This window comes from Homo sapiens, chromosome 13, assembly GCF_000001405.40.
Source record: "Homo sapiens chromosome 13, GRCh38.p14 Primary Assembly".
In the NCBI taxonomy this organism is placed as follows: domain Eukaryota; kingdom Metazoa; phylum Chordata; class Mammalia; order Primates; family Hominidae; genus Homo; species Homo sapiens.
In genome coordinates this window covers 89198206-89214358 of record NC_000013.11, presented here as the reverse complement: position 1 = coordinate 89214358, position 16153 = coordinate 89198206, and positions in this window count along the sequence as shown.

Below are 16153 nucleotides of genomic sequence, written 5' to 3'. Positions count from 1 at the left end.
TTTGAAGTTAAGCATTGCTGAAGCACTCAGAAATCTGCAAATTTGCCAACTCTCCTGAGGGCTTTTGTAGAGTGTTAGTAGTTAATTAATTACTCCCTAGTAATCAACTTTGCAGTGTAATGGCAACTGTTTATTTTATTAACTTTATCAAATGCTGAATGAAAGATTAACATGCACTATGTGCTGTGTTCAGTTGTAAACTTTTACTAAATTTAGCAGAAACATGTAGACACAAATAATAAAAAAGTTACCTGAATATAGATCTGAGAAAAAGGGAGCTTAAACAATAGAATAGTCACAGTACATTTAAACTTTTGTTTTTGGTAATGTTAAATTTGATATACTCAACATATTACCTCGGGAGTAGTAGTAGAGTACATAACTCAATTTCCGATTCTGCTGTTAAGGGCCATGTCCGTATTACATCATAAAATACATATTTTGTGAAGGAACAAACAAACATGTTTCTAGCCTCAGAAGGAATATATTCATTGATAAAACTATGTTTGCTCTTTTTGATCTGACTAATATAACTCAGTTGGAGAGGTATACTGTCACTTTTTGCCCTCTAATATAAAGGTGCCTGGTATAAAGATACCAGATAGCCCTTGACTTTGAATTTGGACCTGGTACTTTTCATTGACCATTTGTTAACTCCAGTGAATTGTCTGTGCAAGTATTGCTAGCCATATAGACATAGCAACTGGGGTGGTGGGGAGGAGAGGGCACAGATGACAATTTATTGCATCTGCCCACAATCAACTACCATTGTTCCTATTTCGCACCATTGACTTTTTTTATAGTCGTAGTGTTCTGAGCACAAAATTTTGAGTTCTACACAAATTACTCTTAAGACAAATTGAGCAATTCTGTGACCCTAATATATGGCAGACAAGTGCTAAATTCCAAGTTTTCAAAAAAGATTTTTAAATTTTCTTATTATTTTCATAATTAGAATAATTGTGAAAAATTAAAAATATTTTATTTGGGGGTGATTATGTTAAAAAACAAGTTATATGATAATATCCAAGGGCGCGCAACATGTTTTCATTATAACTTTTGCTTCATTTTGTATATGAGTTACACAATTATTTGGATAATTGTCTTTAAAATAAGTAATTGTGTTTTGGCTTCAAATGCATGAATGGTATGTTAAAGAATTATTCAGGGAGCTGAGGTGCTCAGGCCAGTTGTCCTGGCGCACAAGGAGGCGAGGCTATGCGTTCAAGGCCAACCTGGGCAACATTTAAAAAAAAAAAATTAAAAACGGAATTATTCCAATGCTCTTAATTTACTTTGAGGATTTTAGGTGTCATGTTACAAAAAACAAAAAAAAATTGCTTTTAAGTATCTCATAGCCATTAAAGACATTTTACATTTTGCCTTTTTTTCTAATAAGATAAATTATATTACTACACTTATTTAGAAAGTAATTCACAATGGGTTGAAAGACTAAATTATTATTGTTATGTTTAAAGTCACCACCATTTTTTCTTATAAAAAATCTGTATTTTAATTTTTCAATCTCTTTTTTTGTCAGGATTTGATATTAAACTTCAGTAATATCAATACATTAAATGGGAATGTTTTCATCTAAATTTCTTCTCTGCAACATGAAAATGGTTTCTATGCCATGAAAATGATAAAAAAAAAATTGTTCTAGTACCATGTTGGCAGGTTGCCTACCTTGGATATAATTCTTTGAAAGCTTTTCCTATCTCTTCATCCATTATTAAGTCTGTTTAAATTTTCCTTACTTTATAATTAAATTTTGATAATTAATATGCTGGGGAACACCGCAGTGTCACACTCACATAATAATGATATACAGCACTGTACTAGGTATTTTATTTTTATGATCATGATATTCCCTCTGTCTGAGATTTTATTGCCTTTCTAATTGTTCACTTTGTTAATGTGACAGTGTACAGTTAACAGGAAGAAGCCCAGCAACCTGCTGGAATCCTGTGTGGTTTGCCTTCATGTTTGGCTTTGTTTACTCAGTACAGCAGATTTTGAATACTGATGAGCACCTACCTGTAATAAAGAAATGCTAGGACAATTTTGATGTCCTTTCCACTGGATGAGCTTATTTCTATTCTTTAACTCCCTCAGTTAGCTTTTTATATCCTTCTTTCTTTAACAAAGAAAACCTTTTTCAGAAATATTTTAATCACTGCTCTAGTAGCAAATTTATCAACCTGGCCTTTGACCTATTCTTTGAATCAGTTGCCATTTTGAAGAGAAATACGAATTCAAAACAATAGTAACTATGTTTAGAGCTTCTCTATGTGTGTGTGTGTGTTGGGGGAGAGGTGGTGGGTATAGAGTTTACAACCTTGGCTTGATTTTATTTTCCTTCCGAATTTATGTAATTTTTCATTATGTCAGAATTTATTCAGGAAAGAAAATATATGGCATATACTGTTATTGGCTGGATACTTTCCTAAATGTTTAAATCTTGGTAAATTTACATTGATCCTCCAAGTTTAGCAGATTATAGAGGCACACATTTTTTCTCAAAGATATGTGACTCATTCTAGGTGGTCTTGTGTTATTCTAGGTTATTCTTCTCTGTTATCCACTACAGGTTTTCAGAGCCTTCTCCCTCAACAACATTGCATTTTCTTATAGGACTCTCATAGCTCTTCTCGTTTCAATATAAAAATAACTAATCTCATGAGCATTACTGAGGTATGCTCATTTTTTTTTCTTTTTTTTTTTTTTGCTAGTGGTGATACTGAGAGGGTAGAATGATGAGCAGGTTATATCATTCCCTACTGGGATGTGTATTATATGTCTATATTTTTCTTAAAAATCTTTAGACTATTTTTAAAATACCTTCTTGTTTGAAAATAGTAATTCTGAAGTTAGACTGTTTTAAAAATAATTAATTCCTTATTAAGTTATTGATTGGATATTGATTGTATAGAGTCTATAATCACTATAACTAAAATTTCATTCGTGTATTACTTTTCAGTTATGCTTAAAGAATTGTATTTGCTCATAAACCTATGAAGGGTAAAATTTGTGATACAATATTTAGTGATCAACTTATTTGCTACACAATTAGGTGTTACAAAGCCTGCCTTACTTCTGACATTAAAAAGAAAAAAGTTTGACCCTTCACCAATTTTAGTGTAGCCTTTCAGAAATACACACTAACATATGGCTTATTGGATGAACAAAGCATGAAAGGTGCATAATAATAGGATAAAATATAAATGTAGTACTAACACCTAATACTAATATATCACACTACCCAAATATTTAGGTTTTAAACAATTATTAAAATTATGACAAATTCATTCTAAGACATAATATTCAGTTACTTTCAAATCAATGCAAGGAATTACAAACCCTTATCTTCACTGTGTACATCCCTGAAATAAACATGTACTTCAGACACTAAATAGAAATTTACATTCCTTTTTTATTTTATTGTGGTGAAATACATATAACACAAAGTAGGCCATTTTAAATATTTTAAATGTGTAATTCAGTGACATTAATTATATTTATACTTCACAACTTTTATCTAAACTACAAGAGGTTACATCCTCTTTCAATACATTTTTAGCCAAAACAAACACACACACACACGAGATATAATGAGATGGTGATATTTCCATAAATGAATGGTAATATCTTCTACCACATTGTGTTCCAAGATTAGTGAGAAATAGCAAAGTAGTCATAAATCTTCTGAATCTTTGTGTAAGGGAAAAATGTTCTTGGTATTACTTTACAAAGTAGAGAATTAAAAGGAGAATCATAATTTCTTAATCTCATTATTAATTGTAACTTTCTGTATATTATCACCTATTCCTGTGTTATGATATACAAAGGATAGTTACTTCATATTACTTATTTAACTATGCCTCATTATTGGAATAATTAATAATAAAAAGCATTTAATTAGTGATAGTCATTTGGTTTTATTTTGAGACTTACAGAAGAGTTAGATAATGTATTATTTCCTTGTGTACTATGTAAAATATTCAAAGAAGATGAGATCTTTGTCCTCTCTAGAAAGTTATGATTCAATTTGTGGCCTCACATGTTGACTTCATTTACCTATATTTGCATATGTAAAATATTTTAAACGTTTTGTTATTGTTAAACAAAACAATAAATTTTCTTTTAAGTTCACTCTGGATTCACTTATAGTTCACTCAAAATTATACTTAGATACATACATACATACATATCACCTTTACATTTGATTTACTAATTTTAAAAGAGCTTGTAAAAAACTCAGTAGTCTTACAAATATAGTAGTGTTGGGACATAATACAATGTATACATAAATATGTATTTTATACATAATTTATATTATTAGTAGATATTCATTGTAAGATAACCCAATGTCTATCATATTGAAGTATTATCTTTAATAAAAATGTTTTATTTTGCTTCATATTCTTACAAAATTATATACAGAAATATGTACATGAAAGTAACTCATATGTTTATAATCATAGTATCATATGAATCTTATTAAAGTGGCTTGCTATCTTGGAACACTTAATAGTGAAGTGATATCAAAATATTTTACGTTATTTAGTTACACAGTAAGCTAAAAAATGGTAAAAATATCACCATGCCTCATGGAGCTCATATGCTTTATTTAATCTATCCAATCCTACATTTTGCTAATGTGTTGGATTCAGGCACTTACCTCTCAATCTGTATTCATGGAAAGTAAAGGTGGTCTTGTGGAGCTCTACACATTGAAATATGTTAAATTCTACAGGTTAATTCAGAGTAACTTTGATTTGACTATATAAGAAGAAGGAAAATAAAGACTGGGAGAAACAATTCCTTCACTGTAGAGAAATTATCAAAATTCCAAAAACTGGTAAATGATTTACCTATCTCCACATCTTTCTAAAATGAAATAGAAGCAAAATCTCTCTCAGAGTGCCTATGCAGAACTAGGGAAATGTGATACACTTTGATCTCACTTGAATATATTACTTAAATATAGTCAATAAAACAAATTATTAAAAACATACAAGGACAATATTTAAATGTGAGGCTAAATAATAGTTTTCTTCAGCTAATATTTGAACTGTACAGATATATCTGAATTTGTATGTAAAGTATTTTACCATGAGTTTTTTGTTATTTCAATTTTCAGATTCTCTGTGAAAGTAAAATAAAGACGAGATATTTAGGAAAGAGTGACACTTTCATAAAGTAAATACAAATAGTCATCTTATTCTCCTCCCAAGATTTAATAATGCTTTATGTCTGTTAGAAATGAGCATTTTCTTAATGTAGCCTGAAAAGTAAAGCTGGGTGAGGGATTTGTAACTTTGTTTTAACACACAAATATAATAATATTAAATCTTCCTCACACATCATATTTATTTAAATTAAGCAGTCAGGCATAGGTGATGCTACCACAAGTTATAGCTGGGTTGCTTATATTTTACTTTGCTATCTTTGTGAACTCTGAAAATTGGAGACAGTTCTCAGTTAATTTAGAAATTTCATTTTGCCAAGTTGAGGATGCGTGCTCATGAAACGGCCTCAGGAGGTCCTGACGATATGTGCCCAAGGTGGTCAAAGCACAATTTGGTGGTATACGTTTTAGGGAGACATGAGACATCAATCAACATAGGTAAGATGAACACTGGTTCGATCCAGAAAAAAGGGGACAACTCAAAGCAAAGGTGGGAAGCTCAAAGCAGGGAGGGGGCTTCCAGGTCACAGGTAGGTAAGAGACAAATGGTTGCATTCTTTTGAGTTTCTGATTTGCCTCTCCAAAGGAGTCAATCAGATATGCATTTATCTCAGTGAGCAGAGGGCTTGAAGTCTAATAGAATGGGAGGCAGGTTGGCCCTAAACACTTCCCAGCTTGACTTTTTCCCTTTAGCTTAGTGATTTGGGGGCCCCAAAATTTATTTTACTTTCACATCTTTTAACCTATAATTTTATTATAAACATAGTGCCTTAAACCATATAATCAGTGTATCTTCCAGCTTCAACTTTTGGTCGTTTGCAATTGCTCTTCCATTATTCGGCATGTATTAGAGCATATTGGATAGTAGGATTCAATAATTCCAAAACCTTTGTTCACCCAATCCCAACGTTTTGACTTCAACTGTATCTTCTTTTCTATATTCTTTACTGCAGTTCAGACGAAAAAATCCCCAGCTCTCCAATTAATCATGTTTTTCTTCCATTAACTAAACAGAGATGCTGAATTTAGCATCTGAGCTAATATTTTAATTTCTTAGTCTCTTTCAGCAAAATTTTATTTCAATTTATTCAATCTGGAATAAATAAAGATGGTATAATGGAGCCTTTTAGTCAAGGGTGATTGCTTGAACTGGTGTAATTGCCTTCCTCACAGACAGTGTTAATGTGTGAAAAAGTCTCCAGTAGTAAACTCCTGAATATCCTTTGGTTTTGTCCCCTTCTTTATGAATAACTTGACTATTTCCAGTTGATTTAGCTCCTTCTTATTCCAATTTCCTTTCCATTATTCTATTTTTTACACTTCCTCTTTATTCAAATAGCATAAATCTTTCTTCATCATCATAGATTTTATGTCCCATACGTGAAGGCAGTTTGGCTACAGCTTCTTGTATTGCTCTTGGAGAGTCTAACAGCATATGTTTCAACAAATGTTTAATGATTATTTCCCTGCCCCAGCCCTGGAATCAGGCATTTCTCTATTTAATTTCAGGGTTGCTTTTAGTAGAAAGTAGTATGTAGAAAGCAAGATCTGGTTGCTGGATATGCTAATTGATAAGAGAATTTTTTTTTCTCATAGTTCCTCCCATTGAATACAGACAGAAAGTAAGTATATGTATACACATGTACAGTACATATATATGCATTTACATATATATACACATGTGTATATACATATATTAGTCTTTATTACATTTATTTAAATACACGTAAAAATACATGTATTTTTCACACTCTATAAAGAATTTCCCCTGCTCAAGCCTGTAATCCCAGCATTTTGGGAGGCCGACGCGGGTGGATCACAAGGTCAAGAGATTGAGACCATCCTGGCCAACGTGGTGAAAACCTGTCTCTAGTAAAAATACAAAAATTAGCTGGGCGTGGTGGCACACACCTGTAGTCCCAGCTACTTGAGGGACTGAGGCAGGAGAATTGCTTGAACCCGGGAGGTGGAGGTTGCAGCGAGCCGAGATTGCACCACTGCATTCCAGCCTCGGCGACAGAGTGAGACTCTGTCTCAAAAAAAAAAAAAAAAAAAAAAAAAAAAAAAAAAAAAAAAAAAAAAATTTCCCTGAGATTGGGTAATTTATAAAGGAAAGAGAATATTTCTTTTTCTCCTTCCCTCTGCTCACCTCATTTCTTCTTTCTTCCTTCCCTGCACCCCACACCTTAAAATAAAGTTTGCATTTTATGTGTATGTTGTTAAGCGTACTGTGCTCATATTATATAAATGTCCAATTAGTAAGAATAGAAATTCATCCAAGATTTTGACGTTCATAGTTGTCAAAAAACAATAATTGAAAAGATTATTTCTAAGAGAAAACCTACATATAATGCTAAGCCCGTTGCCTAGTAAATACTAAGTTCTTAATAAATTTACTTCTTATAGTTATTAAGAAAGTAGTGTGAAAATAAACATAATAAACTTGATTATCCCCATCAATGTAATGAATATAGACTCTCTCTCTAAAAGGATAAGGAGTAAAATATCACAGGTCTTCGGCCTTATTTTTACAAATCAAGTGAGATTAAATGCACTGGCTGTTAGTAAGTTCATTTTTCTCTTCATTATAAAGCCTATCTTTTGAAAGCTGCAGCTATAAAGAAAAAAAGAAAGAAAAAGAAAGAGAAATAAATGAGAGCATTTGTAAAATATACCAGACACATCAGTTAATTATTTCAGGCATGTAAGACTGATAAAGCAGATTTTATATGTTCATCAGTTTTTTGTTTTGTTTTGTTTTGTTTTTTGTCTTAGAAAGAAAGTGTTGATTATAAGTTCAAAGTCAGTTTCTAAAAAGAATATTTCAAGTATAACTGCAATTCCAGAAAACTATTACATTGAGCTTTAGGAAATTGACTGTTGAAGTACATGAACTGCTCAGAGTCCAGTAGTATAGCAAGTCAATTTATTATTGTGTATCAGTCAGGATTCAACCAGAGAAATAGAACTAGTAGAATAAAGATTCAAAGATGCATTGCAAGGTATTGGCTTATGCTATTGTATAGGCTGGTAAAGCAAGTCTGAAATCCAGCAAGTACCTCATCAGAAAGGCACGCAGGAACTGTCAGATACAAGCTAAAGCAGCTATGCACAAGCATAAGTTCCTTATTCTTATGGAAACCTCAGTGATGTCTTCAGGCTTTTCAACCGATTGAGTCAGTCCTGCCTAGAATATCGAGGAGATATTCTAGACTTCAAGTAACTTGAAGTCATCTAATTACACACTTCAGTCAGCTCTATGAAATACCTTCATTGTCACACCTAAATTGATGTTTGACTAAACAACTAGAAACTAGAACTAGCCAAATTGACACATAAAACTGACCATTACAGAGTGTTCTGTAGATATATAGAAACAGGAAGTTTAAAAATCAAGTGCCAAAAGATGAAGTATCACACTTTATAAATAAGAAACAGATATATTAATCAATAGAAGGTGAGGATTAGAAACTAAAACTTCCAAGACAGCTAACTGGACACATAGCCTTCCTTATCTTTTCTCCTGCCAGCCTAATGAAAAGAATAACACTAGGGCTTAGGATGGCATAAGAGAATGCAATAAGAAACAACATTTATTTAGAGCTTTTTAGACAGTTTACATGTATTAACTCCCTTAATCTCTTAATCCTTAATAAATCTATATAATAACTCTGCTCTAAATACTTTTACAATTGTCATTTTATATAGGAGAGGATGGGGGAGAGAATTGAGACTTCAAAGTAATATATTCTATAATTTGTCAAAGTTACAAAGCCGGGAAGTAGTGGAGCTGAAATTCGAATGTATGGAATTTGTTCCTTAGGGTACACTTTTAGTTTCTATGGTCATTATGCTACTACCTCTCTGTGGAATAGCTTTTGAAAGTTTTGGTACTAATATTACAGAATTGTCATGCCAAGGAGTACATTAGAAACAGGACTGTGCTCAGAAAATACAATAAATAAAGATCTAAAAAAAGCTAAAAATTATTTTTGAAAGCATATTTGGTAATATCTATACTAGTTTTTTTCATACTACCCCTTAGTTTTACTTCATACAGAATAGTCTACAACTTATTCAGAAATGTAATGATGAAACATCTTAGCCTGACATCAAAAGATATGTTTCTTTATTTATCTTTCAGATTAAGAGGATAAACAATTGTAGATTATATTTGTGAAAAAGAATATCAAAATTACCTACCAAACAAAAAGGTGAGGTCATCACAGAAATGTTGGCTACTCTCTTTCTATGCACAAAATATCATTAATTCAAATAGGATAAATGTTAATACAAATCATCTTTAGAAATAATAAAACAGAGAAACACCATTTCACTGAAGAAAGTAAGCTCACAAATTCTCACTTGGATAAAACAAAAGAAATAATGTCTTCAAAATATTCAACAATTTTTAATGTTTTCTCCTGGAGTAATAAGGAGAAACTTATTACTAAACAAACAAACAAAAACAAATGAAAGTCCTATATGTAAGTAGCACGGAAAATTGCAACACATGATTAACATTTTTCTTTTCTAAATGTGCATCCTACTGTGACAAGGTATTTTATAGATCACTGGATTCCCAGTATTGAGAGAGATTGTTATGCAAGACACAAAAAGTGTTTAGTAAATTAATCCTTGTGTGAAATAAATATACAATAGCCATATACACTTATTTACCCTTTAGCTATTTTATTCTATATTCTTAATTTTCTAAAATTTGCCTTTCATTTTCTATGTGTTTCTGAGTATTGAATGATATTAATTCCAAAATAACTTCCTTGTTTTTCTTGATAACTAGGACTTCTGATTTTTTAATCTATGAGATTGGGATTTCTCTTGATGTATAATTGTATAATTCCCATGTAGATTTTTATCTGAATTTTATAAATTTCATAAAACATTCATGACAGTGAAGAAAAGTGTCATGTGTCTTTGTGACTCTGAAAAATGTTATATGTACTTGAAAGAACTCTTGAAATGTCAACTGTAAATGAAGGTACACAACAACATTTAATTTTATGAATACTTTAAAAATATTATGGGTATTTTGTATGCTGTAAAACCATTCTATGTGAAAATGTTTGTTTCTGCCTGATCAGATCTTTTTGAGTAAAATACATAGGCAACATGAGTGAAAGAATAAGCACATGACAAACAAGTCCTGGAAGTTAAAGATTGAGATTTCCAGGGAGATATCCAGGTTTATCACTCATGGAGCATTTTTCTGCCATCCTGGAAAACAATCTCCGTTTTCCCATAGAGAACTTGTTTACTTAAGAAAGGTAAGAATTCTCCCTCTCCTCCAGTGAGGAGGAACAGCAGCCATGTAAACTTGTCTGTATCAGATCAGAAATTAATAATTTTGGGGTTTCTCATACTTACTACAGGCTCCCTGTAAAGGAAAATAATGTCCGCCTTGTCACTTTCTCCTAAATGAAAAATAGGGCATGAGGAATCACCACTAAGGTATTTTGTAGGTAAATTATTGGTCTAATTAAGCAGTTGGCTCTAATCCAGAAATCTGAGTTATATATATTTATATATATATAAAATGAGTTATATATATATTTGAAATATATATCACCTGTATAAACTAACAATGCCCATGTTATCAATACGCACGTTTCACTTATTGATGGGCAGCTCCACTTGCATTGAAACCTAGAAAACTCATATTAATGTTTTTGCCAAAGTGGACTCTTTATTCAGGATATAGATGAATATCAAATATGCTCCAACATATTCTCATTTTTTTCTCCCCTCTTCAATCATTAGGCATTGAATGTTCTATAATATCTTATCATCAATAGATTACACATAATACTTTTCTATAGCTAATTTCCTATCTTCTATATGTTTTCAAACATATTTGGCATATTCGTAAATTTTCCTATCCTCCACATTGGAAAATATACCAGGAGCACAATGCTACATTACTCGCTTTCAAGCTCTCAATATAAAATCAAAGATGTATGAAGTAAACTAAAAATCACTACACAATATATATGCAATTACTGTATGTTAGACAATATGGTCAGAGCAAACATATATGCACGGGAGCTCTGAAGAATTGGTAGACTAGTTCTTCTATAGCTACAAATATTCAAATTTTTTATTGGGAAGAAGTGACAAGTTTTACTATGTAGTTCAAAAGAGCAAAATACATTCTGGGAGATAGAAGAGTGTGAATAAAGATAAAGTTTAGGGCGCTTTGCTGTGGCTCACGCATGCAGTTCTAGCACTTTGGGAGGCAGAGGCAGGCAGATTTCTTGAGCTTATGACAGTTCGAGACCAGCCTGGGAACACAGTGAAATCCTGTCTCTACAAAAAAATACAAAAATTAGCCCAGCATGGTGATGAACGTCTGTGGTCCCAGCTACTCAAGAGGCTGAGGTGGGAGGATCACCCTAGCCCAGAAGGCAAATGTTGCAGTGAGCTGTGATCACGCCACTGCACTCCAGCCTGGACAGCAGAGTGAGACTCTGTCTCAAAAAAAAAAAAAAAAGACAAAGAATAAGACGTGGACAAGTGAAAGAAACACTGTCATCTATATTACTCACACATATATGTACACAAGTATGCATACACTCATACATGTACATGTATACATAGAAGTATGCATGCATGTATTTATGCACACAATCCATATATAGTTCATGTATGCATACAAACATGTATACACATATATATGTGCGTATACAGGCCTGCATGTGTATACATAAACATATAACACATGCACATACACATATGCCAAATACACACAAATGGGACATTCCACTAGAGCAAAACTTCATAAAAACATGGGACTCCCCTGCACTAGGACAGTGCCTGCTATACTATAAATTTCATATTAAGTATTTGTTGCACAGGGAATAAACAAAAACAAATTTGACTGCAACAAGCAGGAACCCGAATTCATATCATTTTATGTCATAGTTATATTTTTAATTATAGCATAAAAGTATCAACAAGCTACTGCAATATTTTGCTTAGGAAAATTCCACCATCAGATTTGTATTTTTAAAGCAAACTTTTTTGTTAACAAAGTAGCTATGCTAGAAAAAGGCAGATTGGAAACACAATAGGAAGTTGGATCAGTCAGTAATACTTTGGGTGCAAAACAGAGAAGCCAGATTCAACATATATTAGAAAATAACAAGGAAACTTAATAAAAGTATAATGTTCAATCACAGAATGTTTTGATCGAATGAGGAACAATCAGGCATACAGCTCAGTTACAGGAAACATTTGGTTTACATAAATAAGGGATCTATTTATCTACATATCTACCTAGCACTCCTCTCCTCTTCTTGGCTTCTTCTTGCATATTCTTAATCTTAAAGAAAAATGTGTGATATTCCTCCTTGGGGAAGAAGACTGCTCAGGAAGCTTATTTTATCTTCTGTGGCTGTTCGGCTAAAGAGAGATTTAATAGATTTGCTAAACAATATTGTGCTTATACTTAAAACACTGTATGGTACACTTAAAGTGCATTAGGGGTAGATATCATGTTAAGTGTTATTACAATAATTAAATAAAATCTTCTTTAAAATTTCAGGGAAGTTATTGTATTTGCCCAGCTTGTTTAAATGCTGAGCTAATCATCTGTAATCTGAGAGTGAAGGGTGTAAAGCATATAGTAATAGTTCAAACTTCATGGTTGGAATATAAAAAAGTGGAGCTTTGCTAGTAGAAGGACTGGAAGGAATACTGCATAAATAAACAATATATCATTCACTACTCTCTTTTAGTAATCACACAAATAAATGAAAACTATAACTTCCCTAATATACACATCTAAGAAGTAGTAAGTATGAGGTGTGATAGCTCAAGGATAAAATTGATAGAGGGGTGAGCAATAATCTAAGAAGAGAAGGGGAAGTTACCTAGTCTTCTATCTTGGGGACTTGACTTGGAAGACAGACAGGTATTTACATGTGGACATACTGCTGTTACGGGAAAGCCATCTGGAGATGTCTTGAAGGCATTCGGGCACATACTCGGACTTCATGAGTAGCACCTTGCTTAGAGGGCTTGCTTAATTTTTGTCTATTCCTGACGAGGCAGAGTGTGGACTCTGAGGAGAAAAGATTAGGCTGAAACTCTAAATGGTAGTGTAAATAGGAGCAGGAGAAGATCAATCTTTTTAGGTGGTCATAGTAATGCAAATAGAGAGAGAAAAGGAGGAAAAAAAATAGTATCTTAACAACCAGCAAAAAGCAAGGAGTTTGAACAGTTTCAAATTCTAGAAAGAGTGTAGATGATGCCAGGTGTGATGGCTCACGCCCGTAATACCAACATTTTGGGAGACCAAGAAGGGTAGATTGCTTGAGACCAGGAGTTTGACACTACCCTAGGCAACAGAGCAAAACACTGTCTCTACTAAAATAAGAAAAATAAAAAATTATCCTAGTGTAGTTGTGCATAACTGTGGTCCCAGCTACTCAGAAGGCTGAGGCAGGAGGATGGTTTGAGCCCAGGAGTTCCAGGTTGCAGTGAGTTATGATCGTGCCACTACACTCCACTACACTGGGCAGCATAGCGAGATCATGTCTCATAGAATAATAATAATAATAATAACAATAATGTCTAGAATAGAATAGAATGAGTTTAGTAAGAACATTAGAAATTGTTTATTGTAATGAACATCTGGGAGGTCATTGTTGAAACTGATGTTAGCAGCATATTAAGGAGTTGGAGGAAGAAACAAGCTTATAGTAAATGATGCAGTGACTAAGCTTAAGATAATGCAGACTACACTATCTGAAGCCTAGAAGTTATCACAACTAAAGAGGCACTCATTTTCTAGAGAGTGCTTTCCTATGGCACTATAGGAAGCATTATGAAAACTGTTCATAATTTAAACCTTAAAAATAGGAAAATTTAAAAATTTTGAACATTCTCCCATTATTGTTTGATTTGCATAATATTTTATTTTGAATTATAGCAAATCACATTAATTTTATGAAATTAAAATGCACTGCTCAATAATTTATCACAAATAAAATGCTCATGTAACAATAACAAAGGTTAAAAAATAGGACCTTGTTGACATTTCCTAGAATTTCCCTGCAATCACTGTCTCTCTATCCTTAAAGATAACCATTACTTCAGATTTGTGTGCATGAGAGTGTGTGTGAGAGGATCACTTAGGATCACTAATTTCCCTGCTTTAAAACAATATATAATTTTAAGGAAAGATCTCTGACAAAAGTGTGAGTTCATCCACCTGTAATTGATCCATATTTGCCAATTATGGTAAATTTTTATAAGCGTATGATATGTACTTAAAAATATATTTATTGCAGGCTAGTTATGTATGTCCATTATTTTAATATACATGTTTGCTGATTTTATTTTTCAAATCTATATTTACTTAGTAATTACTTTCTGGCAGTTCTCAATTACTGAGAGGTGTGTGTTATTGCTCATTCCGAATGTAATTTTGATTCATCCTCTTTTTAATTTTGACAGTTTTTGTTTCTTTATTTAAATTTGTTTTAAATTTATATAAATTTAGAATTGTAATTTCTTCCTGGTAAATTGAAACTCTTATTACAAAATTTCTCTCTTTATTAAAGCTCTTTGTCAAATGCCAATTTTCTCTGATATTAATATAGCTGTCAGTTTTATTTTGCTTAGTGTTGACATAATTCATTTTCTTTCCTTTGTATTACTTTCTGTATCTTGACACAGTATAAGTCTCGGTTGTAAAGAGCACATAAGATAAACAGATAACCCCTAATGTTTGTAGCTCTGACTAATATAGTCTACATGTACTTCAGTTTTGAATGCATATTTTCCATTTTTACTTGTCTAATCAGACTACTTTAAAACCTACGTTAATCCAGCACAGTACATTACCTCATGTGATCATCAATTGTTCTAGAATGTCTCATTTTACTTCTAAGTGCCCCTTGCTTTTGTTCACATTAAATTACTATTTAAAGATGAATAACTTCCTGTTAAAGTGATTGTAAACGGAAATGCAAGTTGAGTCTTGTAATTGCAGAGCAGTACGAAATTATAAGTTGCTCATTCAGATGATAGAACATATGCTTATATAATTTTATATTATTTTGTAATGAAAATATATGCATAAACTCATAGGGGAATTTATGGACACAATAAACTTATCAACTCACATTGAAGTTTGTGAATACCTAGGAATGTATTTCTAGGCACAGAATTGTCCTAAGAACACAGGTTGAGAGATTTGCTGATCTTAAAACCTAAATATCTGTCTGACAAATATATATGTGGATTCTTTCCCATTCTCCTGTTCTCTCAGACACAGTCCCATCAGGCTTTTGCCTGAAGCATGTTATCAAACACAGCTCTTGTAAAAGTCTCATGTCTTCTTTGATCCTAAAATTCTATAGACAGTATTAATCTTTACCCTACTGGCCCCATGTTTGTCAAAGGTAATGACCACCCTCCTGTCAGACATGATTTATTTAATAGCTGTTAAGAACACCAACCCCTCTGCTTTTCTCAACGTTGTCACTTATTCCTCAGCCTCCTTTTCTATTTCTTGTATTTTCACTGAATTCTCCATTGCTCAGTTAAATTCCTCAGGTTTTATCCCTTCCTCTTCATTTCTAATTGTAGTCACTTTCCAGGCAGTTTTATTTGGGTCTTTCATTTATATTCATATATATGCTTAATAATAAACTTATTTTAAAAAGAAATATATACTTTGTAATTCAAATTATAGTATAAAACATTTTTCCAATATGTATATAATAAATATATTTTTATATCTACCTACAATTTTATATAAGCTGATAGACTTATTTTATTTAAAAATATGAAGATTTATCATATCCAAAAACCTCCTTTAATATATAAATCAGAATATTTAATATTATGAAAAGTTTTCTTACATACAATTTTATACAGCAATGGATAATAATCTGATAATTTCTAAAATTAATGTAGTTTAATTTAATTAACGTT